The 17095-nt window shown below is 40.1% G+C and overlaps 1 protein-coding gene and 1 long non-coding RNA gene across 3 annotated transcripts in view; one reads left to right on the forward strand and one right to left on the reverse strand.

The window, feature by feature from the left end:
- The window catches only part of GUCY2C (guanylate cyclase 2C), an 83968-nt gene that overhangs the window by 61931 nt on the left and 4942 nt on the right, over positions 1 to 17095 (reverse strand). For both annotated transcript variants that reach the window (XM_011520631.3, NM_004963.4), the window contains exons 2-8: positions 13389 to 13501; positions 11599 to 11663; positions 8480 to 8695; positions 6794 to 6915; positions 5095 to 5191; positions 2292 to 2409; positions 63 to 198 (exon numbers count right to left, since the gene is read on the reverse strand). In XM_011520631.3, the coding sequence (XP_011518933.1) occupies positions 63 to 198; positions 2292 to 2409; positions 5095 to 5191; positions 6794 to 6915; positions 8480 to 8695; positions 11599 to 11663; positions 13389 to 13472 (838 nt within the window). In that variant the 5' untranslated portion in view covers positions 13473 to 13501. The remainder of the gene's footprint in view (positions 1 to 62; positions 199 to 2291; positions 2410 to 5094; positions 5192 to 6793; positions 6916 to 8479; positions 8696 to 11598; positions 11664 to 13388; positions 13502 to 17095) is intronic.
- Positions 1 to 17095, forward strand: part of GUCY2C-AS1 (GUCY2C antisense RNA 1) — a 70584-nt gene that overhangs the window by 8927 nt on the left and 44562 nt on the right. The gene's annotated exons all lie outside the window — the stretch shown is intronic.

Below are 17095 nucleotides of genomic sequence, written 5' to 3' on the forward strand. Positions count from 1 at the left end.
AATCCACTCAGAAAGCCTACATTTCTTCACCTTGGGGTTATTTGCTCTTAGTAGACCAGTACCTTCAAAAGTGAGATTCCTGAAAGCATGAGCAAATTTGGGGGTGGTAATATTTTCTCCATTTTCAAGAAATATCTTCAGCATATGTCCAAAGAGCAGGATTCCATTCAAATAGGCAAGAGCAAAGTCTCGTTTTGTCTAAATAAAAAAGGAAAATATTAAAACGGGTCCTTCAAAAAAGAATCTTGTCTTGAGCCTAGAACAAAAGGTTGTTGGGATCAGCAGGGTTACTGGAAAGTTAAAGGGATATCAGGGGAATTGAAGGGATGTTATTAAAGGAGACTTTTAGAAAACTCTTCCTTGGAGGCCGGGTGAGGTGGATCATGTCTGTAAACCCAGCATTTTGGGAGGCTGAGGAGGGCGGAGCACCTGAGTTCAGGAGTTTGAGACCAGCCTGTCCAACATGCAGAAACCCCATCTCTATAAAAATACAAAAAAATTAGCCTGCTGTGGTGGCACATGCCTGTAATTCCAGCTACTCAGGAGGCTGAGGCAGGAGAATCACTTGAACCCAGGAGGTGGAGGTTGCAGTGAGCCAAGATTCCACTGCACTCCAGCCTGGGTGACAGAGTGAAACTCCATCTCAAAAAAAAAAAAAAAAAAAAAAGAAAAAAAGAAAGAAAGAAAGAAAAAAAACTCTTCCTTGGGTCAGTGTTCTTTATGATCCCATGTCACAATTCTGTCTTCTCTTGGAATCAATAAAATGAGGGAAGCAACTATAAGCAGTTATACTTCATTCCCATGATGAAAAACATACAAATGCAACCAGGAAAGGCAACATGAAGCATTTTCATAATTCTTATAAGATTTTATATAGAAATAATGTTAGTTTCTAGTTGATTGTTTTTATTAAAGTGCAAAAGAGAAACCCAAAAATCAAAAACCAAAAACAATCCCTGCGTTTAAGTATTCTGAGTGGAACATGAGCAGTTTTGATTGGATGATGCCACTGAAATTGCTTTGAATAGAGTTCTGATTGGATATTACTTCATGCCCCAAATGCCTGTCCTGGGAAAAATAATGGAGAGGGTCAGAACTGCTGTGCCTCAGCAGCTGGAGAATGGTGACCTTCACAGGGCTGAGTGATGAATTAAAAGCCCTTGCTGAACTGAGACCAAGTGGGTTCTATTACCTCCGGCATGTTGGACTGCCCATTTGCAAAGAATCGTATTTTTGCTAGAACCATGAAGATGGTCAAGTAATATCCAGATATTACACTCAGAATTATATTTGCTGGAAAAATAAAACTTTCATTGGTTTCAGTTTCTTTTGCTGAAAACATTTCATGAGGTAAAAAGAATCCAGTTAAGACCCAGCTCCAAAAGAGGATGCAGTCCCTAATTTTGGCACGGTCGTAAATGAGAGGACTTAGAACTTCTAGCTGGGAAAAACTGTGACACCCCAGAGGTATCCATCTTTCTTTGCAGCTTTTTGGGCCTGGCCCTTGACTTGCCATCCCAAAGTTGTTTAAGGTCATCAGCATTGCCTCTTCCTCCTCCTCCCATCCCAGCCTGCTCTCAATGGTTTGTCTCTGTGGGAAGAATGCATCTAATAGATTTAATCATATGAAAGTACAGGGACTGACAAAGCCCAATATACTATTAGAATCAGGAGCCCTGCATTATAATAAGGTGGCCATGATTTAGTGTCCAAATGGAGGCTCTTTTTCCTGCACAAATGCTAAACCAGATGGCATAATGGAATAACAGGAATACACCAAAACTCTCCTGGGCAAATTTGGACAATGGTCAACTTAATTATAATGGAAGACAATGTCTTAACCTAGGAATATACATTTCTAAAGGTAGGATTTTAATATCAGTGACAGGAAAATTTTGCTTTAGGACATAGGGAACTTTCCAGTAACCCTTGCTTTATTTTACATTATTTAATTTCTACCTATTTTAAGTGTAAGATTGACCCTCAATAGCAGGGCTTCTTCCTGTCTTTCCATATTGTTACTTTCATGCCAATGTGGTGGATGTGTCCACTGTTGTACTGTTCTATAGTCTAGCAGAGTGACCTATAGTTAAGAGCTTTGATAGGGATCCTGCTGTTTCAAAATGCTGTACATGTAGTTGGTTTCAGTTAACATTTGTTGAATGAATTAGAGCAAGTAAAAATAATTGCTCATTTTAGAATTTGGGTCCTAAATGGAGAAAAATTATCTTACCCTTGACAAATAAAATAATAATATATAATTTATACTATAACATAAAATAATAGCTTACTGGTGATAGATTCCTGGAGAAAGAGCTATTTAGAAGGGAATTCCCAGGAGACAGCGTCAGAACAAGGACATTTTTCATATAGTCAGGGGCTGTGACATTGTCCTCAAAGTACTGGTCACTGTAATAAAAAGCACAGGTTCCTCATGAAAATTAGGAAAAATAGAGATGCATCTTCTATAGTTCACACAAACTATACCATCATCATTGAAAATAGTTTAAAACATTTTTTTTCATTAATCTGCAAAACTTTCTACTTTCCCCAGATAGAATTGTTTTCTTCTGTGCTTGTTAGGTTAAATAAGAGAATTTAAGCAATTGTGGTTAACATACACAAAAGGAAAAGAAAATCAGAATACAGATATTTCTTGATTTCTTTGAGATTTGGGGGGGCTATGGACATGTGAGCTCATGCTTGCTTTTAAGGCTTGGTTTATAGGTAGAAACTTTCTTTAAGTGCTTTTAACAATTTAGAGATATTGAGACATGGTAGAGAGAAATTTTATCACTAAACTTATGTTTTAGATGGTGAAACATAAGCATAAAAAGACTAAACGTCTTCTCTAACATGGTAAGCTTCTTGATATATGGAACATTAGCTTATTGATTCTTGTATCCTCAACTCCTAGACAATGCCTGGCACATTGTAGACTCTCAGTACTGTCTAAGATTGCTCTGCAAATGCTATGGTTTATTTTTATTTTTACTTTTATTTTTATTTTGTTTTATTTTATTTTTAGACAGAGTTTCACTCTCATTTCCCAGGCTGGAGTACAATGGCATGATCTCGGCTCACTGCAACCTCCGCCTCCCAGGTTCAAGCAATTCTCCTGCCTCAGCCTCCTGAGTAGCTGGGATTACAGGCGCCCACCACCACGCCCAGCTATTTTTTTTTTTTTTTGTATTTTTAGTAGAGACGGGTTTTCAGCATGTTGGCCAGGCAGGTCTTGAACTCCTGACCTCAGGTGATCCGCCTGTCTTGGCCTCCCAAAGTGCTGGGATTACAGGTGTGAGCCACCACACCCAGCCTCAAATGCTGTGGTTTCTAAGCTTCCTATTATTTGGAGATTTGAAAAGAATCTGGTATGTTTGAACTGCTGCAATTAGGCTGACCATTATTTAATGTTTTTATTTAAAAACTTTTTTTAGGAGACAAGGTCTTGCTACATTACCTAGGCTGGTCTTGAACTCCTAGATTCAAGCTATCCTCCCGCCTCAGCTTCCCAAGCAGCTGGGACAACAGGCATGCACTGCTGTGCCCAGCATATTTAATATTTGAACACATCTACTATGTGCTGAGAACTGTATTGGATATTTTACTCCTATTATCACATTAATCCTAGAAGTACCCTTATGAAGAGGACATTTTAATTCTCATTTTACAAATGGGAAGATTTAATCTTAAAATGCTAAAAAAATCCAAGAGTCAAAACAACCAGAAGTGTCAGAATTAGAATGTGAACACATTATGTCTAATTTAGTCTCATTAGCTTTCCAAAACATAGCCAGGTGTCCTTTGGGAATAGTGACAAAGGAATGCCAGCACTTTGGTGGTTTATTGAGGATTTCTGAAAGTAAAATTATACCAACCTGGCTACAGTAAGGACTCCTTCCAGGGGTAAAGCAGCTATTGAAATCAATGAGGTTCTTGGAGTGAAATATCAGTAACTCTGCCCTCTTTCCTGTACTTCTGTAGTTTAGAGTCTAGTTGGTTAATTAAATTACCTTCATGAACGTGTAGCCATCAAACAGGCCTGCAGTTCCTATACTTCATTTCCATTCATGCTGTGAGAAGTATCGTTAGTGTGGGTGAAATGATCAGGCAAATATGGGAAAGATCTAGACAGGAGCAGCCTCTTGTCTGAATACAGACAGGTAATGATTAATGGCCCAGTCAGATAAGTGAAGTCACGTGATCTGGCTTCTGGGGGCAAGGGGCATGGGCATGGCAGTGACACCTTCTTCAAGCCTAACTTGACTCAAATATTACTTTGGCACAGCTTGTCAGTGGGGTCTCCAACCATTTCAGATAATTAGCGATTAAAAAAAAGATGGGATGTGAACAAAGGTGCTCTCTACGCTCCAGCATTTTTTCTCTTTGGCTCAGAGAAATGTGGAGGAAAAGATCACCACCTAGTGACTACGCCACAGAGGGTGAGGAATAATTGTGTATATCAGACTCATACAAGTGAAACTTCAAGCTTATCAGAGGTGGTTGAAGGAAAAGTAATCTAGGACCAAAGGCCATTAGCAACTGAAGGAGAAAAATGGGGCTGACATTACCAGGAACAGTATTATTGAGTCTTTAGTTGATTTATCATTTTCTGGACAAAGACTTTAAAATCAGGCTAGAGATCAGGATCGTATGTTTTTCCTTTCTTTCTTTTTTTCTTTTAATAGAGATGGGGTCTCACTGTGTTGCCCAGGCTAGTCTGAAACTCCTGGACTCAAGCAATCCTCTTGCCTGGGTCTCCCAAAGTGCTGGGATTACAGGTGTGAGTGACCATAGCCAGCCAGGATTCTATGTTGACTGAGCAGGCCTCAGTCATAAATGGACATGTGGGTTCAATGGGGCTATAATAAACCTTTTATATTTACAAATGGTGAAGGTGTCAAAGGAATGCATCTCTGCTAAAGCCACAATTAGCTAAATAAGAATGACAGTGTGACAGAGTTCAAATATTATCATCATACTTAACCCCATAAGGGGTTGTACAAAGCAAGAGAAAAGAGAATGTGCCTTCTGGAAATCCTTGGAATACTTCCTTTTTGAAAGGAGGAGGGTTTTTCCAAATGTTATACCTACTTGAAAAGATCCACTAGAATAATGACAATGTCTTCAGCCACTGCTCGGTCACCCTTCAGCTTGTAGAGGAACTCTGGACCACCACACATAATAATCACTGGAGGAGAAGGTAAGACAAGGAGAGAAATATATGACAGTCTACAGACAAACAGGCAGGGAACCAGTTGCCTGAATTTGAATCCAGTATGTTAATGTTAAATTTTTTAAAGATAAACTCCAATTCCTTAAATTCCTCCTTCCTTTTTTTTTTTCATTTACAATTATAGAGTCAGAATAGAGCTGAATGGGATCTTTTTTAAAAAAATCATCTCGTCCATCATTCTTTTAATTTTATAGATTTAAGGAGGCTGAAGCCAAGATGTCAAAGGGTCAAAGAACTAGTAGATGACAAAGACAGCTCTGACAGTCAAGTTCAGTGCTTATTCCATTATGCCAGGCTGGAGTAATTACAGAATATATTGTCATAGATAAGTGAAGTATACCTCACCATTTGTAAAAGTGGTTGAAAAAGATATTATAAAAGTGAGAACTGAGAAGAATTTATAAAGTCTCCCTAAGCAACTTGGGCTTTATCTGTAGCCTCTTAACTCAAAACTTCATCTTAGTAACTCCAATGCCAGAGTCCAGTCTGAAGTCTACCACTAATTTCTGCTAGCTATCCTGAATGCAGTTTTATGAGTGAGAGGAGTTGGGGGAGACTTCATTAGATCTTTTTAGATGCTGTGCCATTATGCTGCCCTGTTGAATTGTAAACTCTTTAGGGACATAAATACTTATATATTTCTTTCCCACCATATCTTGGTTAATGTTTTTGCAACTGGTAGGCCATTAATATAACAAATGCTTGATAATGGCAATAAATGATGATTTGAATATCAGGAAATCCACCAAGCAAGTATCTTTCCTTGTAGAAAATTCTCACAATGGATTCCTTTGCCCCTGATACATTCTTGTTTGTCAAGAGAATTCTGTGGAAAGTGCAACAAATCCCCTAATATCTTAGTGAGGATGACTTCTTTTTATTTGAATAGATTTTTGCGGGAACAGGTGGTGTTTGGTTACATGAATAAGTTCTTTAGTGGTGATTTCTAAAATTTTGGTGCACCCATCTCCTAGGCAGTGTACGCTGTACCCAATGTGTGGTCATTTATCTGAGGATAATTTTATATCCAATTAGGCTTTCCTACTTGGTCTCTAGCTGGTAGATCACTGGGCAGGTGAGATACAGAAGGAATAGGAAAGTGAGATAATCTTTGCTTACGTTGTAATTTTGCATGAAGCTATGTAATCAATAAATTCATCCTCTTGGTCACCAGGAGGACTGGGGCTCAGAATGTGTGAAGATTGGTCACAAATCCAATAATATGTTGGATTGAGGTGAATTTAAAAAAACAGTCTGCTGAGGGTGGGTCATAATATCATTTGGGTTTATAAAAGCCGGATTTTAGCATTATCGTTATTATGTTAATATAATTACTCAATAATACTTAGGTATTTTCTCTCAGAGGATAAGGTTTTTAGTCAATGAAAGGAACAATATAATGAAGTTGCATGCAATTATAGATCTCCCAAAATATACAAAATATGTATGAGTAAGGATGATAGCTCTGCAGTGGAGGATTTGTTGAAATGACTTATAAGGAGGTGGTAGTCATAAAGAAGAAGTTAGCAAAAAACAATTATCTTCATGTCTTCTTACCATTGCTTTTCCTGTTGTGGTCCATTAAGATATCCTGAAACTCCTTATCTTGTCTTAACACCACCTTAAAGCCGAGTTCGTGGGAGAAATAGGAAACGCTAGCCTCCAGAGCATTAAGGTACCTGGAATAGGAAAAAGAGAAACTAAAACAGCTTACTTCCCTCATGGCCTTTCATGCCTTTCACTTCTTATTTGCAGATCTATCCTGGGATTTGTTCATCTAAAATTCATTTCTGCTATTAACACAATAGACAGCACACACCATGATACCACTAGTTTAGATTGTAAGATCTAAATTCGTGAAAGGATGGGGGAACTTTTAGGGATCTTCATGTGTACATGTAAATTGTTATCCCCATAATCACAGTGTATGTTCTAAACACACTCTAAGCAATTTTGTGAATATGTGGCTTGGTTACTTTGATTTAAAGTGAGTTGTCATGATATCTGACATTTGGTGAGTCATTTGTGATGGTTTCTGGCTGCTTGCAGGAAGAGGGTTCTGCTCTGCTCTATAAACTAGTCCCATTATAGATAAGTTGAAACCCTTGAATCTACAGTACAAAAATGCAGAGTTGATAGGAATAATTTTCTGCTTCTGTTTAAACCTCACATTAGATACTGTGGGTTGATTCCTGTGGGTCTCTAGACGTGCATCCCTGGTGGTATCCCATCTTAGTCTTTTGCTTACTTAGATGGAGAAAGAATGCAGAATTAAGCAGCATCCTGGAAGTACAGGCAGCAACCCAGCCAGAAGATTTCTTCTACCACCTTTGTTGGAGTTGAATGAATCTTTCCATTTTATTTTAGTAATGATACCTGATATGGTTAGGCTTTGTGTCCCCACCCAAATATCATCTTGAATTGTTATCCCCATAATCCCAATAATCCCCACGTGTCAAGGGAGAGACCAGGTGGAGGTAATTGAACCATGGGGGTGGTTTCCCCCATGCTGTTCTCATGATAGTGAGTAAGTTCTCATGAGATCTGATGGTTTTATAAGGGGCTCTTCCCTTTTTGCTTAGCACTTTTCCTTCCTGCCACCTTTTGAAGAAAGTGCCTTGCTTGTCCTTCGCCTTCTGCCATGATTGTAAGTTTCCTGGGGCCTCCCCAGCTATGCGAAACTGTGAGTCAATTAAACCTCTTTCCTTTATAAGTTACCCAGTCTCGAGCAGTTCTTTATAGCAGTATGAAAACAAACTATTATTAATACAATACCCATTATTCCTGTTTCTCCCCTACCTCTTGTTTCTCTGAAGAAGTGTGAGATCATTTTTTCTAACTAATTGTAGGTATAGGCAAGATACATGTTCTCTGGTATTGTTTCTTACACAGGAATGTGAAAACATTAACTCCTGGCTTTCATTTTCCTTGTCTATAAAATAGGGATCCTATTACTTGTTTTATTTTCTTCAGATAACGTACTGCAGGAAATCAATAAAACTGATGTGAACGTACTTTCAAAACAGTAAAGAGTGTTGCAGATGCAAACTATACTGATTATTTTTACAACTCTATATTTACTTGGTCCCCTTTGCTTTTATTTATGTGTGAGAAAATGAACTGATGTCTATACCCAATGCTGTTACCAGTGGAAGGTGCATCTGGTAATAACTAGGTGGCCTGCATGATCCTATGGCTTCTCTCCATGGCAAGTGCTAGTGAAATATTAATGATCCTGCTTACCAGAAACAGTCCTCAGTTTCTGTACCATTCTTGTAAACATACGAAGTGCTCCAGGAATAAGTTTTGAAGGGCAGATCGTTGGTTTTCCAAAAGTTAACCAAGAAGTACATCAACTTTCTAGCTGGAGACATCAGCCTGGTTAAGGTTTCTTTATAGTCACATGACAATCCAAAACTTCCAGCTGAGATCATGGGGTAGCTCAATTCTGTGTCAAGGCTATGTCAAGAGGTTGAGGAAAAAAGCCATTATCAGTATTAACTTAAGTAGCACAAATAAGATCCCTCTTTAACCTGTTTCAGCATGTATGTATAAATGGTAAGAATGAAATCGGATCATTAAAGCAGGTTTCTCATGTATATAGGTGTCTTTCTCATACAGCTAAATTTAAAAACATTTATTGAGCACATGCTATGTTCTAAGCACACTCTAAGCAATTTTGTGAATATGTGGCTTGGTTACTTCGATTTATTCTAAAGTGAGTCATCATGATATCTGGGCTGGGATACAGGGGAAGTCGGGCTAAGAAAAAGGATGGACCACCACAGCCACCATAGTTGTTGTAAAGCCAAAAAGATGCCATCTACACTTTGCCATGCATTGCCTTCTCCCCAGCTTGTTCACCTCGGTATCTCCAGTCATCTAGGCTTGTATGTAGATGCTTAGTATGTATTTAACGAAGGAAGGAAAACAGCATCCCCTTACATCTTCAGTGCTCCATCAAAAGGTTTTAGTGGGCTTCCTGCTTGCATCTCAAACTACAATGTTCACAGTCAGAATTCTCTTTCATTTCTGTTCCTCCAAACTGTTTTTCATTTATTTTAGTGTTTTGAGATTTTTTCATTTATTTTAGTGTTTTGAGATTGCAAAGGCTTCTTTGACTACTTTCCATCTCTCACCCCAGCATCATACCATTGATTGATTCTACCTTCAAATATCTTTGCAGTTATCCTCCCTTTCTATGTCCACTTCCTTCTTCCTAATCCAGGCCCTCCTTCTCTGCTGACTTTCCTGTCATCAGTCTGCCTGTGTCTTTCCTATACACTGTGGTCAATCATTCTTCTGAAAGTTGGCTGCTTCTCATGGCATTCCCAAGCTTAAAACCTTAGTGATTTCTGATGTGAGTCTCATTAAATGCAACTTCCTTCACCTGGACTTTCCTCCCATGAACTTCCAAATATGGTCCTACTTAATTTTCCTAGTCTTATCTCTATTATTCCCCTATACATTTCCTGAACTCTGGTTAATACAGAGTTCTTCATTTCCCTGCTTGTTTGCTTTTACATGTACTTCTCTCCCTCTGCCTGGCTAGAAAGCTCATCTCCTCATCTCTCTACTCATTAAAATTTTACCCATTCTTCAACATGCAAACAATCGCATCTCCTTCATAAGAGTTTTTTCCTCCATTGAAGCTTAGTCCCCTCAAGCAGAGGTGACCCTTCCCTTCTGTGCACTCTATAGCTTCTCTTTTCTTTTCTCTTCTCTCTCCCTTCCTCTTTTTCTCCTCTCTCTCTTTCTTTCTTTCCCTTCCTTCCTTCCTTCCTTCCTTCCTTCCTTCCTTCCTTCCTTCCTTCCTTCCTTCCTTCCTTCCTTTCCTTTCCTTTCCTTTCCTTTCCTTTCCTTCCTTTTCTTTCTCTCTTTCTCTCTTTTTAATAGTATCTCACTCTGACACTCAGGCTGGAGTGCAGTGGTGTGATCCTGGATCACTGGAGCCTTGACCTCCTCGGTTCAAGTGATCCTCCCATCTTGGCCTCCCACATTGCTGGGACTACAGGCGTGCATGACTACACCTGGCTAATTTTTTTATTTTTAAACTTTCTGGAGAGCAGAGTCTCACTATGTTGCCTAGGCTAGTCTCAAACTCCTGGGCTCAAGGGATCCTCCTGCTTCGGCCTCCCAAAGCCCTGGCATTACAGGCTGGTGCCACTGATCCCTGCCCTCTGCAGTTTCCTGTTTCCATTTCCCTGATGGCATTGATCTCACTGTGCCTTGTATTGGTCAGGAGAGTCCTTGTCACCTTCTCTATTTGGGTGGACAGGGGCTGTGTTTTACTTAATTCTCTCTACTCTGCCACAGCTAAAATGCTTTGCACGTAGAAGGTCTTCATAAATGGTGAATCAATTTTTCCAATCCTCCTTTCCTTTTGAGCATACTCTGTAGCAATATTAGTAAGTGATCAGGTTAGATGACAGTTGGGAACAAATACAAGGAAGAGTAAGATTCTGGATCTGTCCGCATTTTGGTATGGAAGAGAAGCTGAAAAAGTGCTCAGTGAACCTGAGCATCTGAGGCTGTTTGTAATGGTGGGTGTGAGGTGACAAAAGCAAACTTTGCAACAGAATTTTCAGAGGTCTAATGTTTACTCTCCAAAATCCATTGCAAGTGATATTCTGCACAGTTTTCTCTGTGTCGATGAAGCGTGATTCTTGATTCAGGGTCAGATTGAACAGGTACAAAAAAGGAACTTGAGCAGGATTTTGATTAGGGAAGGTGTAATTAGCAGAACAAAGTATTTTTTGGTGATAATTACATTGTGTAAAATGAATGGAAGAGATGAGGGTGATTTTCCCAGAGCCAGAAAAATATATTCATTCTAGAATATACTGAGAGCTTTGTTCTAAGATAGTAAGGGCACTGTACAAAGGACTTTAACATGTCATTTATATAATTCTCAAATAACATGAACTAAATATATTGTTATTTTCCCCACTTTTACCAGACCTACAGGATAGAACAGAACCCTACTAGTACCCTGGGGTGTTGCACTTTCTTTTGTGTTTCCCAACCCTCTACCCATACTTTTGTGAATATTTTATTTATTAAACGCCTCAAATTATCCAATTTCACTGTCTTTCCTGCTTTCTCTCAAAACTCTGACTTTTTACCCATACCATGTTTTCTCTCAAGGTCAGATGTTAATGACTCAACCTGAATGGCTACAGACATTCACTCCATGCTGAGCAAGGGAAGTTACCTGGATAAGAGAATGACAGTTATGGGGAGATGGCAAAATACTAGACCTCAACACCTCTGATTGTGTTGGCTTGACTAGACTGTTGTTTGATGAGTCCTTTAAGTTGCAATATCATGTCCTGACTTCAGTTCACAGTAGTATTACTTACTACATCTGGAAGGTGGAGTATGTACATGAGGGCCCTATGAGGACACAGCCCATCCGTTGTGCATTCTGTAGGAGAGAAAACAACAATGAATTCCTAGAACTAAGAAAAATACTCAGTGGACAGGAAAGAAGTAGCAAGGGGAAGGCTCCCAGAGGTTTAGAAAGTTGGGCCTCCCAAAATGCTCAAACTCAGAGCAACATAGGGTGCCTTGGTCTGGACAAGGATCAACTGAGGCATGGAGAGGTTCGAGAGGGAAAACACACTACAGGGAGGAAAGGTATTTTACAAAGGTGAGCTGACTGGAGGTGAACCTGGCTTCCTTCTCAATGCAGGATGGGAAGAGGCAGAAGAGGGACTGGGAGGCTGTAGCATTAGTAGTGTCTGTAGGCCAGATAGTGGTGAGATGAGATTTGGAGGTGCTTTGAAGGGAGAGGGCAAGTTTCAGTTGTAGAGAGAACTATAAAACAGGGCTGAAGTGAGTAAAATGCTATGCAATTGATTGGGTGATTATTGATCTTATTTTCTCCTATTTCTTAAGGGGAATCTGGTTGGGACCATCTCATCCCTGGTTTTGGAGAACCAGGTTATACCTCTCTCTGTAGAGGCAGAGAAAAGCAGCATATATTTCTGAAATTGTGATGTGGAGTTTATTGAACTATGCTTGTGCACACCTTACCTTCCCAAGATTGAGAATCACTGCTGTGGTAGCCATTGTTCCTGATGGGAGTGTGGCCTGCCTGGTTGGTGTGATGTTATTGATTAAAGTTTAGAGCCGTGGCTCTACTCCCAGTGCTCTGCTGCTAAGACAGCCTTTTCTTTAGTTTCTGTATTAAGGGGGTGCATTGCACATCTGCTTGTCTCTAGAGAGCTTTTAACCCTCTTTATTTCCTTAAAGCTCTGGTTGGGATTGGGGTTTGGGGATTAGGAGGAGGAACTAGGCAAGAATCTCCCTCTTCCCATTTTCATCCTTTGACATTGAAGTTACTACTTTAAGTTAGGTGGCAGATTCAACGCTTAAGCAATTAACTATGACCTGATATATGGTGATGACTTGAAACAGAGATTTCTGGTGTGGGGCCTTGAAATATGTTTTTAAACATGATTTCTCAGGTATTTCTTGAGGGATACAAAGGCAAACCAGTTTATACTAACATTTAAATAAAGAAACTTAAAAACTGGCTGGGCGCAGTGGCTCATGCCTGTAATTCCAGCACTTTGGGAGGCCAATGGGGGCAGATCACTTAAGCTCAGGAGTTTGAGACCAGCCTGAGCAACGTGGTGAAACCCTGTCTCTACAAATAATATAAGAAATTTGCTGAGCATGGTAGCACATGCCTGTAGTCCCAGCTACTTGGGAGGCTGAGATGGGACAATCACCTGAGCCCAGGAGCTCAACCTGCAGTGAGCCATGATTATGCCACTGCACTCCAGCCTGGGCAACAGAGGGAGACCCTGTCTCAAAAAACAAACAAACAAACACCCAAGAAACAAAACAAAACAAAATTTTTAAAACAATTTAAAGCAAAAGAATTCCTCTCCTTACAAATGAAAGTGTACACACAGTACATAGCCAAGGCTTTCCTCACTTTTCTGGATTCATGGAGGGCCCCTGTCATTTAGGTAATCTGTAGGGGTAAAGCCAGAGTCTCCTGCCTGGTACTCGGCCACTCATTCAGCTATGTGGCTAGAGATGATGGGAGAGCTGCTTCATGGTCATGTGCCTACATTTCACACTGGGATTATCCTGTGCCCAGAGGCCATGAGCTGCATCCACAAAAGCAAATACTTACTGAAATTTTCCTGAGTAGGTCGAGGCCTTCACAGGTGCTACTCCGGCAGTCGCCTGAGTTATGAATCAGACCATCCGAATACATGAAAGTAGCGTTCACAGTCACATTTAGGCCTGTCGCCCAGAGATGAGGGAAAATAGAACACTAGTGTTATTTTTCAGTAATTTATATCAGCCATGAGATTGATTCTGGGAAAAAATGGATATCCATTTTCAGGCCTAGGAATATTTACATCCTGAGCCCTTGTTTTACTCCTGGTCACTTTTTTCCTCTGTGTGTCTCTGTCTCTCTGTATCTTTTCATCTCTGTTTCTCTCTCTCTCTCTCAACAGTTTTATTGAGGTATAATTTATCTATCATAAAAATCATCCATGTTGAGTTTACGATTCAATGACTTTTAGTAAATATATATATAGTTGTGCAACCATCCACATGGTCCAGTTTTAGAACATTTTCATTGTGTTCACTGACCTCTTCATCTTTTCACAACCCTAGATGCAGCAGGTCTCCTGTATGGACTGGAGAGTGTTGGGAAGCAAAGACATAAACATTATGATAACCTGTTCTTTCATGGTCCCCAGGTGCTATTTGTTGCCAACTTGCAGGAGGCTGCAGTCTTCCTTGGTCTCTGATCTTTATCTATCCAGTCAACAAACAGTTATTAAGTTCCTGCTATGTGCCAGGCGCTCTTCTTTGCGCTCATGATACAGCATTGAACAAAAGTTCCCCCTTTCAATAGGCTTACATTTTCTTTGTGTGTTACACAGAATAATGCATTTCTGATAGGGTGGTCATGGAAGCCCTAGGGGGAGCTGGGACCTGCGTGAAGACTTAGCCATGCGACACATGGTTTCTCTGGTCAGAGGGAACAGCAAGGGCAAAAATCCCAGGCAGGACCCTTCTTGGCATTTCAGAAAGAACAGGGAGGCCAGCGTAGTCCTGACAGAGTAAGTGAGAGGTAGTATGGGTGAGATGTGAGGTCAGAGTGAGGCCACACCGTGCATGACCATGTGGACGTTAGTAAGTGCTTTCAATTTATTCCAGGATAAGATGTTTTGGAGGACTTTGAGCAGAGAAATGATATTGTCTGACTATTATTTTTAAAGGATATCTCTGGATCCTGATGCAGAGAATAGATTGTGGGGAACAGAAACAAATGCAGGGAGACTAGTGAAGACACGATTCATAACCTAGGTTAGATTGGACTACAGTAGTTGGAGCAAAAGTAGAGAAAAATGGTTGCATTTAGGATGTATTTTGAAGGTAGGAAATTGATAAATGCAATATGAAGTATGAGAAAAGAGGACTCAGAATAACGCCAATATTTTTGGCCTGAGCAAGTGGGTGAAGGGAACTCCTATTGACCAAGATGAGAAAGAGTGTGGGTGGAGCAGGTTTGCTAATGTGGTGTGTGTGGTGATGGAGGTGGACATGTCAGGTGTGAGATGCCTGTCACACTTCTAGATAGAGAGGACACTAAGCAGTTGAAATACACCCATCAGAAATAGTTATTAATGCAATCATTCTTATTGATAAAAAGCTGTCACATCTGTGGCTCAGATTTATCATTCTTGCTCAAAAGGGGTGTCTTGGTCAGTTTTCTAGAAATCAAAGCCTGAGACAAAAGCTTTATTGAGTTTGTCTTACCAGAGTCCCATATGCAGTAAATAGTGGGATCTGAAATGGAAGCCGTGATTATCTCATCCCAAACCAATTGTACATTTTTGATATCTCAAATGAAAACTCACGCATGAGGGAATGGCCTTTTACCAGCTTAGTGATGCACCAAAATGTTAAATCCAAAATTTATCAATGGGTATGATTGTTTGTTCTCAATGAATCTTGCTGTATTACAATTTTTAGACCCTGTCTCTCCTGGAGCATTCAAGATACTGAGTAAATAGTCTATGAGAAAAATACCTGCATACCCTCAGGAAGTTCCCTGCAGCTGTACCCACACTTCTCACATGAAATGAAAATGGTTAACAGTTAATTATCATCTATTTTTCCTAAAGAAGGTGCTGCAGAATTCTGTTTTCTTTCTTAGTAGACAGGGAAGGAGATTGTGTAACATTACAAAATTGCCAGAAAACCCCTTTGTCTTTAAAATACATCCTCTTACTTTAAAATGTTTCTAATCAAGGATAAAGAAAACAAAAATGTGTTCATTAGTGTCCTAAATTAGATGAGAGTTTTGTTTGGATTTCACTCTGACTCACACATTTCTCCTCTTAGAAAGCAATACAAGAATTGAAAACAAGTTTCTCTTCAAAATATCTGTTTGGTCACAAGGATGGCTGGCCTTACTGACCAGAACACCACTCCTGGTGTTAGGCATTTCCTCTATGGGCTACTCCCAAAGCCAAAGTGAATTATGTTCATCCTGGCTTGAGGTCTTTGTATAATGGAGAACTCCCATATTTAGATGAAAGCAAGGGTCTTGCTGGCGATATCCCTGGGGACTGCTAGGCACCACGTTTTAGAAGGGAATAGCAGAACCATTTGACCACAATCTATTAAATTTTGGTTCCTTCCAGTAAAAAATAATCAGGACAAATGTCTGATTCCTAAGCAGGGATGTTCTTTTTTTTTCTTTTTCTTTTTCTTCTTTGAGACAGAGTCTGCACTGTTGCTCTGGCTGGAGTGCAGTGGCGCGATCTCTGCTTACTGCAAGCTCCACCTCCCATGTTCATGCCATTCTCCTGCCTCAGCCTCCTGAGTAGCTGGGACTACAGGTGCCCACCACCACACCCGGCTAATTTTTTGTAGTTTTAGTAGAGACAGGGTTTCATCGTGTTAGCCAGGATGGTCTCGATCTCCTGACCTCATGATCCGCCCGCCTCGGCCTCCCAAAGTGCTGGGATTACAGGCGTGAGCCACTGTGCCCAGCTGCAGGGATGTTCTTAAGTTTGCCAAGTCTAGAGGGAGTCTGGAAACCTCAGTCCACAGTCCGGCATTATGAGTGATTTCTTATGTGTTCTTGTACAAGCCATTTTAATTTCTCTCACTTAGTTTCTCGCATGTAAAATGAGGTTAAAACCAAGTTTGTAAAATGGGATAATTTTTAATAGCACCTTTAAAAGAGCAAAGCATGTCTATAATAGAAGTTGTTCTTCTGAACAAATAAGAATGTTTTTAAAGGTAGAGACTTGTTCTTTCAAAGAATGGAGGAGTCTTTGCACTTCTACAGCCACTTGAGAGATGTCTACCAACTTTGCTTTTTTAAGTTCGAAAACACTGATACTTTATTCAGTAAGATAGCTGATTGAGAGATGTCAGTACTTTGGTAGGACTAGCCAAATAGGAGACTTCAATGTAATTAGACCAGTCAGAGATATCTAATGGAAGAGAAGTGGGGAGTGATGGGTTTAATAGCAGTTCACACTTAATTGAGTGTAACCGCGAGTCAGCTTCAGTACTAAGCCCCATATGCCTTTTATTTAATTTTCATGACAATAGAAAGGATATAGAGAATTTGAAACCAGGAGAACAGAATGAATGAGGCTACAGTGGACCTGGGGGAATGAGAGAGGGCATGTGAGGAACTGTAGAAAATAGGGTTAGAGAGGGTCTTGGAACACTGCAAGAGGAGTCAGAAAGTGACGTGGAGGGTAGCACACAGTCACATGAAGATGGCCACACTTGCAGCTCCTCTCTCTTGACCTCCTGCCTCTATGAGGGCTTTGTTCTGTCCTACCACCATGAGGG

Source organism: Homo sapiens, chromosome 12 (assembly GCF_000001405.40).
Source record: "Homo sapiens chromosome 12, GRCh38.p14 Primary Assembly".
Lineage (NCBI taxonomy): Eukaryota > Metazoa > Chordata > Mammalia > Primates > Hominidae > Homo > Homo sapiens.